At 44.5% G+C, this 19,045-nt stretch overlaps 1 protein-coding gene across 2 annotated transcripts in view, besides 1 other annotated feature; it reads left to right on the top strand.

Annotated features, from left to right (window-relative positions):
* The window catches only part of COG7 (component of oligomeric golgi complex 7), a 64,697-nt gene that overhangs the window by 15,752 nt on the left and 29,900 nt on the right, over positions 1-19,045 (top strand). For both annotated transcript variants that reach the window (NM_153603.4, XM_017023870.2), the window contains exons 5-8: positions 2,720-2,802; positions 3,771-3,893; positions 12,491-12,689; positions 18,611-18,738. In NM_153603.4, coding sequence (NP_705831.1) covers positions 2,720-2,802; positions 3,771-3,893; positions 12,491-12,689; positions 18,611-18,738 — 533 coding nt within the window. The remainder of the gene's footprint in view (positions 1-2,719; positions 2,803-3,770; positions 3,894-12,490; positions 12,690-18,610; positions 18,739-19,045) is intronic.
* Positions 12,625-13,170: an enhancer, noted in NCBI's record as "H3K27ac-H3K4me1 hESC enhancer chr16:23435589-23436134 (GRCh37/hg19 assembly coordinates)". NCBI's record gives its function as "activates a minimal SCP1, AML or CMV promoter by ChIP-STARR-seq in primed H9 embryonic stem cells {active_cell/tissue: H9 hESC(primed)}" and the evidence as "EXISTENCE:reporter gene assay evidence [ECO:0000049][PMID:30033119]".

The following is a 19,045-nucleotide window of genomic DNA, read 5'->3' as shown; positions in this document are numbered from 1 at the left end:
GCTTTGTTCCTCACATTCTCTTGTGAATTTGTGGCTACTACAGAGCTCACTTTTCTGGTTGGGGTTACATCCAGTTCTGTGGGGTTGGGGGAGTGGGAGTGGGGATGGAGAGGTGGTGGCTCCATGCATTTAAGCTTTTTTGTTTGTTTCCTTCTGAGTGAGCTGGCTTCTGGGAGCTGGTGTTGGATTTGAGTGATGCCTGGTGGTTCAGCATCATGGGTTTGGTTTTGGAGATAAGCAGTTTTTGACAGCTTTTGTGCACAAATTTGAATCAGGCTTGACTCTAGGCAGGACATGGATTCAGAAGGCGAAAATGGCGCTTTTGAGCTCCATAGGCTGCCTCCTCTGCTGGGCCGCAGTGGAAACAGCCCTCCCTCCCATGCCTGGCCCAAGCCCCCTTGGCCCCCAGTCTTTGGCCCTTTGTACTGTTCTGCACCACCCTTAGCGCCCAGACTTTTACCAGCTTCCCCACCCATTGTGGCCCAAAGTGATTAGATATCTAGTTGGGATTCTCTGAAATATGTAGTACAGATATTTTCCTGGCTTCAACGCAGATAAAACAATGTTTTCTTTTGGTGATTAATCTTAATTTTGGCAAGCATCAGGAAGGGTTCCCCCGCCCCACAGGTAATGTGCTGTTTATAATCAGCCATGTTTCCTGGAAGGCTGAGGTAGTTCTTTATCTAACAGTTTTTACTTTTTATTTTTTTTGAGACAGAGTCTACACTCTGTTGCCCAGGCTGGACTGCAGTGGTGTGATCTCGGCTCACAGCAACCTCCAGCTCTTGGGTTCAAGCGCCTCAGCTTCTGGAGTAGCTGGGATTACAGGCATGCACCACCACGCCTGGTTAATTTTTTATATTTTTAGTAGAGACGGGGTTTCACCATATTGGCCAGGCTGGTCTCGAGCTCCTGACCCCAGATGATCCACCCACTTCAGCCTCCCAAAGTACTGGGATTATAGTCATGAGCCACCTCACCCGGCCTAGCTAACAGTTTTTAAAGGGAATTCTCTGATAAATTTGTTCATCCCCAACATGTTCCCCTTTTCCATCTCCTAAAATGACAATGTGAGTATAGCCAAGTATACATGCCCAGTTCATTTTATATAACCAATGAATTCAGCTGATACACTGAAGCAACTTTTTATAGAATTATTTTAATTAATTTTTTTGCTTCTCACTGGTCAAACCCAATTTATAGAATTTTGTTTTTTGAGCTAGAATCTTGCTCTGTCACTCAGGCTGAAGTGCAGTGATGTGATCACAGTTCACTGCAGCCTTGTCCTCCCAGGCTCAAGTGATACTCCCAGCTCAGCCTCCTGGGGTTTACAGGTGCACATCATGCCCAGCTAATTTTTTCTATTTTTTGTAGAGGGGTCCTGTGTTGCCTAGGACATTTTTGAACTCCTGGGCTCAAACAGTCCTCCCACCTCAGCCTCCCAAAATGCTGGGATTACAGGTGTGAGCCACCACACCTGGCCTATGGAATAATTTTAAATGTAACAGGAAGATTCACTTATTTAAGTGTTCTTATGAAAATAATAAGCATTTTAAAGGCAAATATTCGTTTTCTAACTCATGGATTTCTGCCCATTAAGTCAAGTTCCACTGGCAGGTCTCCAGCGCTTAGCTGGGTGTCCCACAGCGGTTGCTGTTACAACATTTCCTTCTCAGCAGTTTATTGGGCTTCCCAGAAGTGAAGGGGAACAGAGCAAATATAAGAAGTTTGGAGACCTGTTAGCTCAAGGCTTTTTTTTCCCTTCTTTTGATATAGTTCTAAGGCTGTGGCATGTACATTTTGGCCAGAAGGGGGCGGACAGGAGCCAGAGGTGGCGCTGCTGTGCACACTATTCAGAGACTGCACTGAAACCCACCTTCCTGTCTGTCCAGCGGTGAGCCTGGAAGCAAGTGCTTTGCCCAGTCATTTCCTCTGCCCTTAGGGAAATATGTCAGAAACTACTTGATATTAAGCCCATAACTTGGGTCTTAGAATCCATTGTTATGTGTGGAATGCTAATAGTTACCAAATTATTTGATTTTATGTTTTGTTTTTTTGTTTTGCTTTGTTTTAGAGGGAGTCTTGCTCTGTTGGCCAGGCTGGAGTGCAGTGGCGCGATCTTGGCTCACTGCAACCTCTGCCTCCCGGGTTCAACCAATTCTCCTCCCTCAGCCTCCCAAGGAGCTGGGATTACAGGTGTGCACCACCACGCTCAGCTAATTTTTGTTTTTCTTTTAGTAGAGATGGGGTTTTGCCATGTTGGCCAGGCTGGTCTCGAACTCCTGACCTCAGGTGATCCGCCTGCCTTAGCCTCCCAAAGTGCTGGGATTACAGGCATGAGCTACCGCGACCAGCCCAAATTATTTACTTATTCCTCAAACCACCAGATATGTTGACATATAGCAGTTCAGTGTGTTTGCTTTTTTAAAGTTCCCATCTGGTATAATCGAAGTAGGAATTTTGAAAGACATAAATAACCTCTCAGTATCATGTTAAAATATGAATTCTGTGAGGAACAGTGGGGAATACCTTGCAGTATCTGGTTTTCACGTCATGCTTATTTTTCAAATTTATGATCCTCATGCATGAGTTAATTCAGTATCTAGGCAGGAACTTGTGAATACTAGCTTCCATATATCCACCTTCATCCTGGTGAGTTTTTTCTCATGTCTACACCAGAAAGGCTGGTAACAGTATATATACATTGTATGTTCTTTAGATCAGTCCAAAGTGTTTGTGAAGGTGTTTACTGAAATTGACCGGATGCCCCAGCTCCTGGCCTACTACTACAAGTGTCACAAGGTAAGAAGCTGTGCGCGATGACAGTTGTGCAGTTGTGGAATGCTCATAACTCTGGGTCACAGAATCGCAGGTTCATAATTCAGAAGGTAAGAACATTTGTCTCCTTGCCCTCTGGCTGTTTTTCTCTTAGTTAGCCAGTAGGGGGTGCTCTTGGTCTAGCATATGGATTTGTTTAATTGCCAGTTGGAAAAAGTTATCCGTTTTCATTCTCTTTTCTGTTTACAGCTGGATTCATTATAGACTTGAAACGTTGTTTTAATTTATTCTCATTTTTGTCTTTTAAGGGAGATTTATGTCTTAAGCTTTATTACACCCTCAGAAGGCAGTAAGAATTTCTCTTTTTTTCTTTAGAGATAGGGTTTCACTATTTTGCCCAGCCTGGAGTGCGGTGACTATTCACAGATCCGATCATGGTGCACTACAGCCTTGAACTCCTGGGCTCAAGTGATCCTCCCGTCTCAGCCTTGTGAGGAGTTGGGACTACAGGCGCGTGCCACTCCACCTGGCTTGGAATTTTATGTTTTCTAGGTTTGCTGAAGTTAGATTGCCAAAAAACTTGACAGCTTCCTGAACTGACCTTAATTCCTTCAAGTCCAGTGCTCTGTGTCTTTTAAGCAGTGATGTTAGGACATGAAGCTTAAACATACATGTCTGCCCGCTCTTGCCCCAACATCTATTCAGAAGAGTGATGGTGTGCCAAGTGGTTGCACATTACATGTTTTTAGGGCAGGATAAATGGAGAGGGGATCACATCCGCAGGGTGACAGATTAAAGCTGTGAATCAGTGCAGATAACTGCAAATGTTTTTTTTTTTTTCCTGCCTTTCTTTGAAGTGAATGGACCTCACTGGGCTGCCCAGTGAGCCCATTGAGCAATCCGTGATTACGCTGGGTAGCAGGGCAGGGCAGTGTTCACAGGCAACCTATGTTGACGTACCCAATAAGGTTCCCTTTGTTCTGTCTCTGCAGGTGCAGCTTTTAGCAGCCTGGCAAGAGCTGTGTCAAAGTGACCTATCCCTGGACCGGCAGCTTACCGGACTCTATGATGCCTTGCTTGGTGCTTGGCACACACAAATCCAGTGGGCTACACAGGTAACAGCTCATTTTTGTTCTAGGGAGAACAGAGTCTGTGGTGACAAGGGAACGGGTGACTGCCTCGGGAGTGGCCACCCTCAACTGCAGAGCACAGCTCAAAGAACTTCCCCGTTTGTTGCTGTCATTCAAGGGGTTAAAAAATAACCAGTTAGGCCGGGTGCGGTGGCTCACACTTGTAATCACCACACTTTGGAAGGTCGAAGTGGGCGGATCGTTTGAGCCTAGGAGTTCGAGACCAGCCTGGCCAACACGGTGAAACCCCAACTCTACAAAAAATGCAAAAGTTAGCCAGGTGTGGTGGCACAATTACTAAGGAGACCGAGGCAGGAAGATTGCTTACGTCCAGGAGGTTGAGGCCACAGTGACTATGGTCGCACCACTACACTTCAGCTTGGACAACAGAGCAAGCAAGACTGTCTCAAACAAACAAACAACAAAAGAAAAAACGATAACCAGTTAAATGGTTTAAGTTTAAAAGATAAGCTTAGAAATCCACGTCAGTGAAATCTTTAGGTCTCCACTGAAACTCTTCTTACCACTCTTATCTATAACTTAAATAGGACCTAATGTGACAATGCCGCCTGTTGTCCAGCAAGGGAGCCTGTGGAATTCCTGAAGGCCATTTTCTTCCCATCTAAAAGCAGGAGGCCCCTCGTCAGGTGGTGTTCGAATGAACAGGAATGTTTTTATCTTTACTTCAGGTAAAATTTACCTACCTGAAGTGAGTCTCCCTTGTTCTCATGATACACCAAGAAGTAGGGGAAGAGATAATTTTAAAGGTACCCCCTGACTAGGAGTGAGGAGAGACAGAGGAACTTTGTTTCAAGTGGCAACTATCCATCATTTACTTTCCTCAAGTCTCTAGGCATTTCCAGCCATAAAGGTTTTAAACCGTTGTTCTCTTGCCTTGAGACAGGAGGCACAGTAGAACCTCTTGTAAGCAGGGGAAGAGCCTGTCTTACTTTGCAGTAATGACTTACTGGGCCTGTTTCTAGTGTGGCTTATTTTATTTATTTTTTTCTTATTTATTTATTTTTTTTCTCCAAACCCTTGTGTTGAGGGCTGATTTTCAATAGCACTCAGATAGAGAGCTATTGAAATAGATTGCAGTGAGGGAGCTGCTCTGCTATGTACGAAACCCCAACCTAGAAGCAGGTCATCTACGAGTGGTTTAGTGTCACGTTCCCCATATTTTATTTTTTACTATAGTTGTGAATCACTCTTCAGATGTTCATCAGTCATTTGCTGGAATGAATTTGACTAAGGTTGGAGAGAATTCCTTATACCGGGTCATGTCATTCAAGTTGTTGGTTAAAGCACTTTTCTCCATCCTTGTTCTTTTTCCTTGAACTAACCTAATTCATTCTTAGGATTTTGTTTTGTTTTGTTTTGTTTGAGACAGAGTCTTGCTCTGTCATGCAGGCTAGAGTGCAGTGGCATGATCATGGCTCACTGCAGCCTCGGCCTCCTGGGTTCAAGCTGTCCTCCTGCCTGAGCCTTTCAAGTAGCTAGGAATACACGTATGTGCCACCATGCCTGGCTAATTAAAAAAAATTTTTTTTGTAGAGATAAGGATCTCACTGTGTTGCCCAGGCTGGTCTCTAACTCCTGGCCTCAAGTAATCCTCCCACTTTGGCCTCCCAAAGTGCTGGGATTACAGGCATGAGCCACCATGCCTGACTTTATTTTATTTTTCTTAAGAAGAATATTTCTTTTTTTTTTTTTTTTTTCTTCAGACAGAGTCTTGCTCTGTCACCCAGGCTGGAGTGCAGGGACACAATCTTGGCTCCCTGCAACCTCCGCCTCTCTGGTTCAAGCAATTCTCCTGCCTCAGCCTCCTGAGTAGCTGGGATTACAGGCATCCGCCACCACTCCCAGCTAATTTTTGTGTTTTTAGTACAGATGGGGTTTCACCATGTTGGCTGGGCTGGTCTCGAACTCCTGACCTCAAATGACCACCCACCTCGACCTCCCAAAGTGCTGGGATTACAGGCATGAGCCACTGTGCCCGGCCAAGAAAAAAATTATTCATGTGTTCTTGCCTCTTCTACTACTTCTTGTATCACAAGGATAAAAACAGTTCATGTCCATACATACGAATGCCTTTCGTCATCTAAGAAAAAGAACTTAGACTTCTCAGACTTCTCTTTGGGCCTCATCCTAGATTTTGGGAGACATGAGTTTCTGCTGATTTATACTGTTGGCCTGTGGCCCATTTTCTTTTCAGGATGGAAGCATAATAGTTGGGCTGTCCCCTCCTGAAGGTCGGTATAGCACACAGGAGCCAGGGCACATGTGTCTCCTTCAGATTTTTCCCCTTAGCATTTTCATATGAGAAATTTCCAATATATAAAAATGTTGAGGGAATTGTACAGTGAATACCCATGTAGCCACCTCCTACGTTGTACAGTGTGCATTTTGCTCTATTTGCTTTATTGCAGATCTGCCTGTCTATCCCTGTCTCTGTCTGTTCATTAATCCATCTTATTTTTTAAAATTATTTTTATTTGTATTCTTTTTTATATAAAAATATTAAATTAAACAGAGATGGGGTCTCACTATGTTGCCCAGGCTGGTGTCGAACTCCTGGGCTCAAGTGATCTTCCCGCCTCAGCCTCCCAAAGTGCTAGGATTACAGACATGAGCCAAAGTGCCCAGTCAATCATCTTATTTGTTTTACTCATTTCAAAATAAGTTACAAGACTGGGCGTGGTGTTTCACACCTGTAATCCCAGCACTTTGGGAGGCCGAGGCAGGAACATCACCTGAGGTCAGGAGTTCGAGACCAGCCTGGCTAACATGGTGAAACCCCATCTCTACTAAAAATACAAAATTAGCTAGCCGTGGTGGCAGGCGCCTGTAATCCCAGCTACTTGGGAGGCTGAGGCAGGAGAATCGCTTGAACCTGGGAGGTGGAGGTTGCTGTGAGCCGAGATTGTGCCACTGCACTCCAACCTGGGCAACAGAGCGAGAATCCATCTCAAAAAAAAAAAACAGAGTAAGTTGCAAACTTCATTCACTTCAGACCATACATATTATTAACTAGAGTTCAATGTTTACTTACATTTTTTTTAGGTAAAATTGTGAAATACAATCTTTTTTTTTTTTTTTCTGAAACAGGGTCTTGCCCTGTTTTCCCCACTGGAGTACGGTGGCATGATCATGGCTCACTGCAGCCTTGACCTCCCTGGGCTCAGGTAATCCTCCCCTCTCAGCCTCCTGAGTACTGGGACTACAGGTGCGTGCCACCACACCCAACTAATTTTTGTATTTTTTGTGGAGACAGGGTTTTGCCATGTTGCCCAAGCTGGTCTTGAACTCCTGGGCTCAAGTGATCCTCCCACTGTTGGGCTGCACGCCTCCCAAAGTGCTGGGATTACAGGAGTGAACCACTGCACCCAGCCATAGTGATCTTAAATATGCCATCCCATTCATTTGACAACTACAAATACCTGGGTAGCCTAATCCCCTTTCAGGATCCAGAACATCCATATCACCATCGCCCTGGAAAGTTCCCTCATGCTCCTTCCCAGTTGGTCTGTGCACCAGCACCCTTAAGGCAACCACTGCCCTGATTTTTTCCATCATAAGTTAGTTTAATGTGTTCTAGAATTTCACCTAGATGGAATCAGACAGCATTTCATCTTTTGTAGGCTTCTTTCACTCAGCGTGTTTTTGAGATTTGCTCGTGTTGTTTGTATCACTAGTTTGTTCCTTTCTGTTGCTGAATACTGTTACATGGTGTGAATATACCTGTTTGTTTACACTTTTTTTTTTGAGACGGAGTTTCGCTGTTGTTGCCGAGGCTGGAGTACAGTGGCACGATCTTGGCTCACTGCAACCTCCGCTTCCCAGGTTCAAGTGGTTGTCCTGCCTCAGCCCCATGAGTAGCTGGGATTACGGGCACACACCACCATGCCCAGCTAATTTTTGTATTTTTAGTAGAGATAGGGTTTCTTCATGCTGGCCAGGCTGGTCTCGAACTCCTGACCTCAGGTGATCTGCCCACCTCGGCCTCCCAAAGGTGCTGGGATTACAAGCGTGAGCCACTGCACCCAGCCTGTTGACACTTCTTATTGGTAGACACTTGGTATGTTTCCAGTGTTGGGCAATTATGAATAAAGGTGCTTTGAATATTGTTCTGTAGGTTTTTTTTTTGTAGACACATGTTCCCATCTCTTGGGTAAATACCTAGGAGTGGAATTGCAGGGTCAAATCGTAGGTGTATGTTTAGGTTTGTAAGAAACTGCCGAGCCAGGCGTGGTGGCTCACACCTGTAATCTCAGCACTTTGGGAGGCCAAGGCAGGAGGATTGCTTGAGCCCAGAAGTTTGAGACCCACCTGGGCAATATGGCAAAATCTTGTCTCTACAGAAAATACAAAAATTAGTTGGGCGTGGTGGCACATGCCTGTAGTCTCAGCAACTCAGGAGGCTGAGGTGGGAGGATCACCTGAGCCTGGGAAGTTGAGGCTTCAATGAGCCATGATTGCTCTACTGCACTCCAGTCTGGGCGACAGAGTGAGACCCTGTCTCAAAAAAAAGAAAGATGGCTGGGTGTGGTGGCTCATGCCTGTAATCCCAGCACTTTGGGAGGCCGAGGTGGGCGGATCACCTGAGGTCAGGAGTTCGAGAGCAGCCTGGCCAACATGGTGAAAGCCTGTCTCTACCAAAAATACAAAAAATTAGCCGGCCATGGTGGCAGATGCCTGTAATCCCAGCTACTCGGGAGGCTGAGGCAGGAGAATCGCTTGAACCTGGGAGGTGGAGGTTGCAGTGAGCCAAGATCGCACCATTGCACTCCAGCCTGGGCAACAGAGTGAGACTCCATCTCAAAAAAAAAAAAAAAAAGAAAAGAAACAACCACATTGCTCAAAGTGGTTGTACTTTTTCCACTCCTACATAGTGTGTGAGAGTTCTGGTTGTTCCACATCCTTGCCAAAATTAGGTGTTGACATTCTCTTTAATTTCAGCCATGCTGGTGGGTGTGTAGTAGTATCTCATCATGGTTTTTATTTGCATTTCCCTGATGACTAAGGATGTTGAGGAACTTTTCACGTGCTTATTGGCCATTTGTGCATCTTCCTTTGCGAAATGTCTATTCAGGTCTTTTGTCCATTAAAAAAAAACAGGTTATTTGCCTTTTTATTATTGAGTTGTAGCAGGTTTTTTTTATTTTTTATTTTTTATTTTTTGAGACAGAGTCTTGCTCTGTCACCCAGGCTGAAGTGCAGTGGCATGATCTTGGCTCACTGCAACCTCCGCCTCCTGGGTTCAAGCAATTCTCCTGCCTCAGCCTCCTGAGTAGCTGGGATTACAGGCATGTGCCACCATGCCCAGCTAATTTTTTTTTTTGTATTTTTAGTAGATATGGGGTTTCACTATGTTGGTCAGGCTGGAGTACAATGGCATGATCTGGGCTCACTGCAAACTCCGCCTCCCCAGTTCAAGTGATTCTCATGCTGCAGCCTCTGGAGTAGCTGGGACTGCAGGTGCATGCTGCCATGCCCGGCTAATTTTTGTATTTTTTAGTAGAGACAGGGTTTCACCATGTTGCACAGGCTGGTCTCGAACTCCTGGCCTCAAGTGCTCTGCCCACTCGGCCTCCCAAAGTGCTGGGATTATAGGTGTGAGCCACCGTGCTAGGCCTTGAATTTTAAAAATAACATTTAAAAATAACGAATTTGGTGGTGGTCTAGAGGGTGAACTGATGAGGCTATGCTGGAGACAGGTAAGAACCTTTGGTAGAGGATGGTGATGGAAATGTTGAAGTTCAAGAAGAATAAACAGTTGTTAGGACCTGGTAACTGATGAATGGACCACAAGAACAGAGAGTCAGAGGGCAGTTTTCATCCTGGTTCAATGGAGATGTTACTGACGGGAACACAGAAGTTGGAGGAAGCAGGTCTGGGGAGGTCAGTGGCAAAACAATGAATTCCAATTCTGACTGCTTTTAAATTCCAAGTGAGAGTGACGCATCCTAATGGTGACATCCAGTAGGTGGTTGGAAGAAACACAAATTGGAGAGTCCTCAGCAGTTTAGCTGTTTTTTGTTTTTTTTTTTTCTTTTGAGACAGAGTTTCTCTCTGTTGCCCAGGCTAGAGTGCAGTGGCGCTATCTCAGCTCACTGCAACCTCCACCTCCTGGGTTCAAGCAATTCTCTGCCTCAGCCTCCCGAGTAGCTGGGATTACAGGTGCCCACCACCACATCTTGGCCTCCCAAACTGCTGTGATTACAGGCGTGAGCCGCCGCGCCTAGCCTGGTTTTTTTTTGTTTGTTTGTTTGCTTTTTTGCAACAGAGTTTTGCTCTTTCGCCCAGGCTGGAGTGCAGTGGTGCAATCTCAGCTCACTGCAGCCTCCACTTCCTGGGCTCAGGTAATTCTCCTACCTCAGCCTCCCCAGTAGCTGGGACTACGGGTGCACACCACCACACCTGGCTAATTTTTGAACATTTTTTGTAGAGACAGGATCTTACTTTGTTGCCCAGGCTGGTCTCAAACTCCTAGGCTCAAGCGATCCTCCCACCTTAGCCTCCCAAAGTGTTGGGATTAGAGGCATGAGCCACTCTGCACTTGTCCTGAATTTATTAACTCTAAAAGTATTTTGTGGATTAAGATTTTCTACACATAAAATAATGTCATCTGTGAACAGAGATAACTCTTGTTTTCAATTTGGATGCCTTTTCTTTCTTTCTTTCTTTCTTTCTTTTTTTTTTTTTTTTTTTGTCCAATTGCTCTGGCTAGGACTTCTGGTTCTTTGTTGAATAGAGTGGCAAAAGCAGGCATCCTTATCTTGTTCCTGTTCTTACCATCTCTTACCAATGGGTATCACGTTAGCTGTGGGTTTTCATATATGGCCTTTATTATGTGGAGGAAGTTTCCTTCTATTCCTAGTTTAGTGTTTTTCTCATGAAGGGTATGGAATTTTGTCAAATATATTTTCTGCATTAATTGAGATGATCATGTATTTTCCCTTCATTCTGTTAATGTGGTGTATTACATTGATTCATTTTAAAAAATTAGAGATTTATAATATTTTTATTTTTTGAGCCTGGTCTCAAATTCCTAACTTCAAGTGATCCTCCTGTTTTGGCCTCCCAGGTGCTGGGATTACAGGGCTGAGCCACCACTGTGCCCGGCCTTGATCCATTTTTGTTTAGTTTAACCATTCTCACATTCCTGGGTGAATCCTACTTGATCATGGTGTACAATGTTTTTTAATATGCTGCTGAACTCAGCTTACTAGTGTTTTCTTGAAGATGTTTACATGTGTATTCATAAGGCATGTTGGTTTACAGTTCTTCTCTTTTCTTTGTTTCTTTTGTTTTGAGACAGAGTCTTGCTCTGTCACCTAGGCTGGAGTGCAGTGGCAACATCTCAGCTCACTGCAATCTCTGCCTACCAGGTTCAAGCAATCCTCCTGCCTCAGCCTCCCAAGTAGCTGGGATTACAGTCGTGCACCACCATGCCCAGCTAATTTTTTTGTATTTTTAGCAGAGACGGGGTTTGACCATGTTGGTCAGGCTGGTCTCGAACTCATGACCTCAAGTGATCCACCTACCTAGGCCTCCAAAAGTGCTGGGATTACAGGCATGAGCCACCACACCTGGCCCATAGTCCTCTCTCTAGTTAATTTTTGGTGACCATCAAAAAAATGCCACATGAATGTGTTCGTTAGATTTGAAAATAACTAGACACTTGGGGCCACTGATAGACATGAACTTGCCAGTTGTTCTAGGCAAGTTGCAAGTTCCAAGTCTTGCCAGTTTACTTTCTGAGCATGTTCACATTTGCCATGAGGAAAACTTTGGGCTTATAGCTCTAAACTAGATCACTTTTCATCTATCAGGGGAGATCCTTTTGAGATGACCCAGGAGATAGCTTCTTTAAAAGTTATACTTCTTTAAAAGGTGATGTGGCTCACACCTGTAATCCCAACACCTTGGGAAGTTGAGGAAGGAGGATCACTTGAGGCTAGGAGTTTGAGACTAGCCTGGGCAACATAGTGAGACCCCGTCTCTACAAAAAAATAAAATAAAATAAAAAATTAATCAGGTGTGGTAGTGTTCCTGTAGTATCAGCTACTTGGGAGGCTAAGGTGGGAAGATCACTTGAGCCTGGGAGTTAAAGGCTGCAGTGAGCTATGATTATGCCACTGCACTTCAGCCTGGGTGGCAGAGTGAGACCCTGTCTCAAAAAAGTTTTTAATTTTTAATTTTAATTTTTATTTTTTTGAGACAGAGTCTCGCTCTGTCACCCAGGCTAGAGTGCAGTGGCACAGTCTTGGCTCACTGCAACCTGCACCTCCCGGGTTCAAGTGATTCTCCTGCCTCTGCTTCCCGAATAGGTGGGATTACAGGCATGCGCCATCACACCCGGCTAATTTTTGTATTTTTAGTAGAGACAGGGTCTTGCCGTGTTGGCCAAGCTGGTCTTGAACTCCTGGCTTCAAGTGATCCACCTTCCTTGGCCTCCCAAGGTGCTGGGATTATAGGCATAAGCCACCGTGCCTGGCATCTCAAAAAAGTTTTTTAAAAAAGGTGGGCTCCTATTTGGCTCCATGTGCTAAGGCAGGTACACCTCTCTCTCACTGCAGGTTTTCCAGAAGCCCCACGAGGTGGTAATGGTGCTGCTGATTCAGACCCTGGGGGCCCTCATGCCCTCGCTGCCCTCCTGCCTCAGCAACGGCGTGGAGAGGGCAGGGCCCGAGCAGGAGCTCACCAGGCTGCTGGAGTTCTACGACGCCACCGCCCACTTCGCCAAGGGCTTGGAGATGGCACTGCTCCCCCACCTACGTAAACATTCCTTCCTGCCAGTTCTCTAGCTTGTCTTTACTCGCTCTTTCTGAAGCTTCTGGGGCCTGGATTTGTTTGCCTTTTCAGATGACTGATTTTACAGAAATGGAAGGGATCGGTGTTTTCCTTCTCAGCAGATGTGGAGGGCTTTTCCATGAAAAAACATTGCCATCAAGGAAATAGTTGTTTAATATCTTTGCCTGGCTCCAGTGCTGCCTGGGTGCCTTACATGCTCTGGGGAAGTGATGGACACCTCTGTGGGGCTTGGGATATAAAAGAGGCATCACAGTGAGGCAGGTAGATGTTATGGCAAAGAGTTGGCGGCAGATTACACCAGGAGGCAAGTGTGCTTATCCTTTGAAGTCATCACGAAGCCTCAGACATTTCAACCTCAAAAGTCAGTTTTAGAGAACAAACAGGCTACAAGGGCTTTTTTTTTTTTTTTTTTTTTGAGATGGAGTTTCGCTCTTGTTGCCCAGGCTGGAGTGCAATGGTACGATCTTGGCTCACCACAACCTCCACCTCCTAGGTTCAAGCAATTCTCCTGCCTCAGCCTCCCAAGTAGCTGGAATTACAGGCATGCAGCACCACGCCTGGCTAATTTTGTATTTTTAGTAGAGATTGGGTTTCTCCATGTTGAGGCTGGTCTCGAACTCCTGACCTCAGGTGATCTGCCCGCCTCGGCCTCCCAAAGTGCTGGGATTACAGGCATGAGCCACTGTGCCCAGCCTACAGGGGCTTTTTGAAGGAGCAACAGCAAGTGTCCCAGGGCAGGGGAGCTGTGTTAGGACTACAGGTGGTTGTAGAGAAAATGGGCTTTCCCCGGTGGCCGACTGAGAGCAGAGCACCCCTTACTCCCATTTGGGTAAACAGTGCCTGGTGTGTGATGCTCTCCAAGCTCTTTCCCGTCTATGTTAAAAGCTTTATAAATTTTTAAAGAACACAGACCCCGTGACGCATGTTGCTGTCAAATCAGGAAATTGCTTCAGGAAGGCCTTGTTCTGCTGTTCGGCGGCTGTGTGTCACTGACTTGGTTTATTTAATAGTTCTTCTCTTTAATTACATCTGTGTATAATTGCCTTGTACGTTCCAGGGAGTGTGTTTATTGTTCGGATTCCTGATGACTCATCGGTGTTTTTGGCATGCTCACAGGTCAGGCCTTAGTTATGGGAAAGGCCCAGTGGATGGGGAAGCTTCCAAGGGACCGTGATGCCTTTGTGGAAGTGGCTAAGGAGAGTTGAGAGAGCTGGGCTAAGGCGAGTTGCTGCAGCACAGTGGGACGAAGGTGGAGCAAGGAATGGCTGCATCCTTCCCCTGGGGATGGATGTAGTGGGGAAGAGAACCACCCTTGAGACAGATCTGGAAGTGCTTTGCTAGTCAGCCATGGGACGAGTCTCACTCTCGCCCAGGCTGGAGTGCAGCGGTGTGATCTTGGCTCACTGTAACCTCCACCTCCTGGGTTCAAACAATTCTCCTGCCTCAGCCTCCTGAATAGTTGGGACTACAGGTGTGTGCCACCACACCAGGCTAATTTTTGTATTTTTTAGTAGAGATGGGGTTTCGCCATGTTGGCCAGGCTGGTCTCGAACTCATGACCTCAGGTGATCGACCCGCCTCAGCCTCCTGAAGTGCTGGGATTACAGCAGGTGTGAGCCACCATGCCTGGCTGGGACTTTAGATTTCATTTTTTTTTTTTTTTTTTTTGAGACAGAGACTTGCTTTGTTGCCCAGGCTGGAGTGCAGTGGCGTGATCTTGGCTCACTGCAACCTCTGCCTCCCAGGTTCAAGCAATTCTCCTGCCTCAGCCTTCTGAGTAGTTGGGATTACAGGCACACACTACCACACCTGGCTAATTTTTTTGTATTTTTAGTAGAGACGAGGTTTCACCATGTTGGCCAGGCTGGTCTCAAACTCCTTGCCTCAAGCAATCCACCCATCTTGGCCTCCCAAAGTACTGAGATTACAGGTGTAAGCCACCACACCTGACCTAGATTACTAATGATTCTCCCTGAGGTTTTCCAAAAGAGTTTTAGTTTTTCTTTTAACTTAAAAATTTTTTGGAAACACACACAAAAATAAAAAGAGAGCAAGAACAATCCATAAACTCATCAGTCAGAGCCACCAACAACATTATTTGCTTCCAGTAATACAAATATAAATATACATTGTTCACAAATATTAATATACTTAATATCTACCATATAAATATTATGTAATAAATACATAACATATTAAATATATTAAATACTTTTATATATTTACATGTAATAATATATGTTATATAATATATACAAAATATCTTAAAATATTGGTTGTAGACAGTCTTATATTTTCATTTTTTGAAATGCTCAAAATAATATAATGGGCATTTTCTTATGTCATTAAATGTTTTCCTAAGACATAGTTTTGTTGTCTTTATTTTTTTTTTGTTTTTTTGAGACAGGGTCTTGCTCTGTCGCCCAGGTTAGAGTGCAGTGACACTATCACAGCTTACTGTAGCCTTGAACCTTCTGGGCTCAAGTGATTCTCTGAACTCAGTCTCCTGAGTAGTTGAGACCACGGGCACATGCCACCAAGGCTGACTCATTTTTAAAAATTTTTTGTAGAGACAGGGTCTTCCTATTTTGCTCAGGCTGATCTCAAACTCCTAGGCTCAAGTGATTCTCCTGCCTTGGCCTCTCAAAGTGCTGGGATTACAGGTGTGAGCTACCACACCTGGCCAATTTACTACCATTTTTAATCACTATGATATATAAAACTATAATGAACTGTTTTATACATTAGTTTTTGAGCCTAGCTCCGATTATTCCTTAGGATAAGTTTAAATTTGCAGTTGCTCAGAAATGAAAACTTTGAAGATACTTGTCACATTTTGTTCTTTTTTTTTTTTTTTTTTTTGAGATGGAGTCTCACTCTGTTGCCCAGGCGGGAGTGCAGTGGCACAATTTCGGCTCACTGAAGCCTCCACCTCCTGGGTTCATGCCATTCTCCTTCCTCAGCCTCCTGACACATTTTGTTCTTTAGACCTGTTTTTGTATCTATCAGTAGTGAACGAAGGTGCCTGTGTTGCCATCCCCTCACCAGCACTAGATTCTTTTTTTCTCCTGTCATTGCCAGGTTCTTAGACAATTACTGATATGCCATTTTAGTTTTTCACTTTGGTTATTAGCAAGTTTGAAAGTTACATGATAAAAAGTATCTTTTCTCTTTTGAATTGCTTATTCTTTAGCCTGTTATTCTGTTTGGGAGTTTAACCTATTTCTGGTTAATTTATAAGAGCAATTTATTTAAAATAATATATTATTAAATATATTATAAAAAGCAACAAAATATGTATTATAAGAATTAATGATATAGAAATCTGTGACACAAAATAACTCTCCTATAATCCCACTTTAACCACTGTTACAAATTTGGTGCATATTCCTGAAAGATCCTTATATAGTGAGGAATTTTTACCATTGCTTATCAAATATGTTGTAAATATATTGCCTAACTTTTAATTTTACCCTTAACATTTTTTCTATTATTTTAATAGTTAATACATGTACCTAATACAATTCAAAATATAAAAGATTATGCAATATAAAGTAAATTTTTAAAAATTTAGGTTGACTTTATCATTATAGAAAAATCTAGGAAAAAACAAGGAAGGAAAAAGAAATCATTCTCAACTCACCATTCAGAAACAGCATTTTGGGCCAGGCATGGGGGCTCGCACCTGTAATCTCAGCACTTTGGGAGGCCAAGGTGAGGGAGTCATTTGATTCTAGGAGTTCAAGATCAGCTCTGGAAACATATACCCCATCTCTACAAAAAAAAAAAAAAAAAAAAAAAATTAGCCAGGTATAGTAGCATACACCTGTAGTACTAGCTACTCAGGAGGCTGGGGTGGGGAGATCTCTTGAGCCTGGGAGGCCAAGGCAATGGTGACCTGTGGTTGGACCACTGCACCTTAGTCTGGGGAACTGAGTGAGATCCTGTCTCGAAGAAAAAAGAAAAGAAGAAGAAAAAAGAAATAACACTTTGGATTCTATACATGTGCAGATTTGATTATTACCATGTTAGACCCACATTACTTTACCTAATCTCTACAAAACCTTGTAAAATTGGTGCCAGAAATCAAGAGCAGCAGACTTTAGCTGAGTGAGTATTGAAGGAGAAGTAGGAGTTAACTAGATAAAGAGGGGAAGGGACGAAGCCGGTCCTTCCAGACAGAGGATCAGCATGTGAACAGAAGGAAGCTTTTAGGAACTGAGAGAAGGCTGGGAGCTAGAGGAAGAGGGAAGGAGGATGAGGCTGTAGAAGTAATAATAAAACTAGCTGAAGGAGGGGACCAGAAGGATGTGAGGATACCAGTAAGTAGGCTATTACATTTACTAATCCCCTGTTGAGACTGTGTCCAAAGCTTTCTGATTCTGAGCCATGTTTCCATGAACATCCTTCTGTCTCTGTGTATTTGTTGATTTCTTTGAGATGATTTTCAGGAATTGAATTACTGTGTTGTAGAATATGCACATTTACATTCTGATACAGCGTGTTTTACATTTTTATGTGGTTGAACGTAGGAATTTTTGGAATGCCTGGGCTATGGGGTATCCTTTTGTTTTTTGTTTTTGTTTTGAGACGGACTCTCGCTCTGTCACCCAGGCTGGAGTGCAGTGGTGTAATCTCAGCTTCCCGGGTTCAAGGAATTCTCTTGCCTCAGCCTCCCAGGTAGCTGGGACCACAGATGCATGCTACCATGCCCAGCTAAATTTTTTTTGTATTTTTAGTAGAGATGGGGTTTCACAGTATTGGCCAGGGCTGGTCTCAAACTCCTAACCTCAAGAAATCCGCTCACCTCGGCCTCCCAAAGTGCTGGGATTACACGTGTGAGCCACCACGACCTGCCAGTGGGGGTATTCTGTTTCTAGGAAGTCCTAGGAACATGTGGCATGGGAATTGTTCTTCCTGTATTGCCTTTTCTCTGTGGCAGTTCTTTTTTTTTTTTTTTTTTTGAGATGAAGTCTTACTCTGTCACCCAGGCTGGAGTGCAGTGGCATGATCTTGGCTCATTACAACCTCCACCTCCTGGGTTCAAGCAATTCTCCTGCCTCAGCCTCCCGAGTAGCAGGAATTACAGGTGCCCGCCACTACGCCCGGCTAATTTTTGTATTTTTAGTAGAGATCGGGTTTCACCATAATGGGTAGGCTGGTCTCAAACTCCTGACCTCAGGTGATACGCCCACCTCCGCTTCCCAAAGTGCTGGGATTACAAGTGTGAGCCACCGAGCCCAGCCTCTGTGGCAATTCTTGAACCTGACCTTGATGAGGGTTATCTTTTTTTTTTTTTTTGAGATGGAGTCTCGCTCTTGTTGCCCAGGCTGGAATGCAATGGTGTGATCTCAGCTCACCACAACCTCCACCTCCCAGGTTCAAGTGATTCTCCTGCCTCAGCCTCCCGAGTAGCTGGGATTACAGGCATGTGCCACCATGCCCAGCTAATTTTGTATTTTTAGTAGAGACAAGGTTTCGGTTTCTCCATGTTGGTCAAGCTGGTCTCAAACTTCTGACCTCAGTTGATCCGCCCGCCTCGGCCTCCCAAAGTGTTGGGATTACAGGCGTGAGCCACCACGCCCGGCCAATGAGGGTTATCTTTTGAAGGGATTCTTATTTGTGGTGGGTCATGGGATTCAGGGGGCTGGTGTCTTTAATAGTGCTTTAGGCAAACAATGTGCAAAGCCCAAATTTATCCAGATATTTGCTGAACTGATTGTAGGAGAAGCTTCCATGAATGATAAAAGCTGCTTAACAAAATATAGTCCCCTCTGGAGATCAAATGGGGAAAGTTCTAGTAGAGCGCCTCTTGATTGTTGCTTTCCCACAGTTAATTTCAGATTCTTTGTTCATTATCGTTTTACATTTCTGATTCCCTAAAGATGAACACAATCTGGTAAAAGTCACGGAGCTGGTGGATGCTGTGTATGATCCATACAAACCCTACCAGCTGAAGTATGGCGACATGGAAGAGAGCAACCTCCTCATCCAGATGAGTGCTGTGCCTCTGGTAAAGTCGCAGTGTCCTGGGGCCACTGAGGAAGCATTCTGTTAGCCAGGGTCTTGGCCACGTCTGGGAGAGGGCTGGGGGTTGGGATCCGGGGTGCTGAAATATGACCTTTAAGCACTTGTGGGCTCTTGTAATCCCAATGTAAAATGAGACCATATATTTGCTACCAATTTTCTATTGATTGATGGATTGAGACAGAGTCTCCATCTGTCGCCCAGGCTGGAGTGTAGTGGTGCGATTGATTACAACTCACTGCAGCCTTGATCTCCTGGGCTCAAGTGATCCTCCTGCCTCAGCCTCCTGAGTA

Source organism: Homo sapiens, chromosome 16, assembly GCF_000001405.40.
Source record: "Homo sapiens chromosome 16, GRCh38.p14 Primary Assembly".
Classification (NCBI taxonomy): domain Eukaryota; kingdom Metazoa; phylum Chordata; class Mammalia; order Primates; family Hominidae; genus Homo; species Homo sapiens.
The sequence above is the reverse complement of the archived record's forward strand: the minus strand, read 5'-3'. Positions and strand labels throughout refer to the sequence as shown.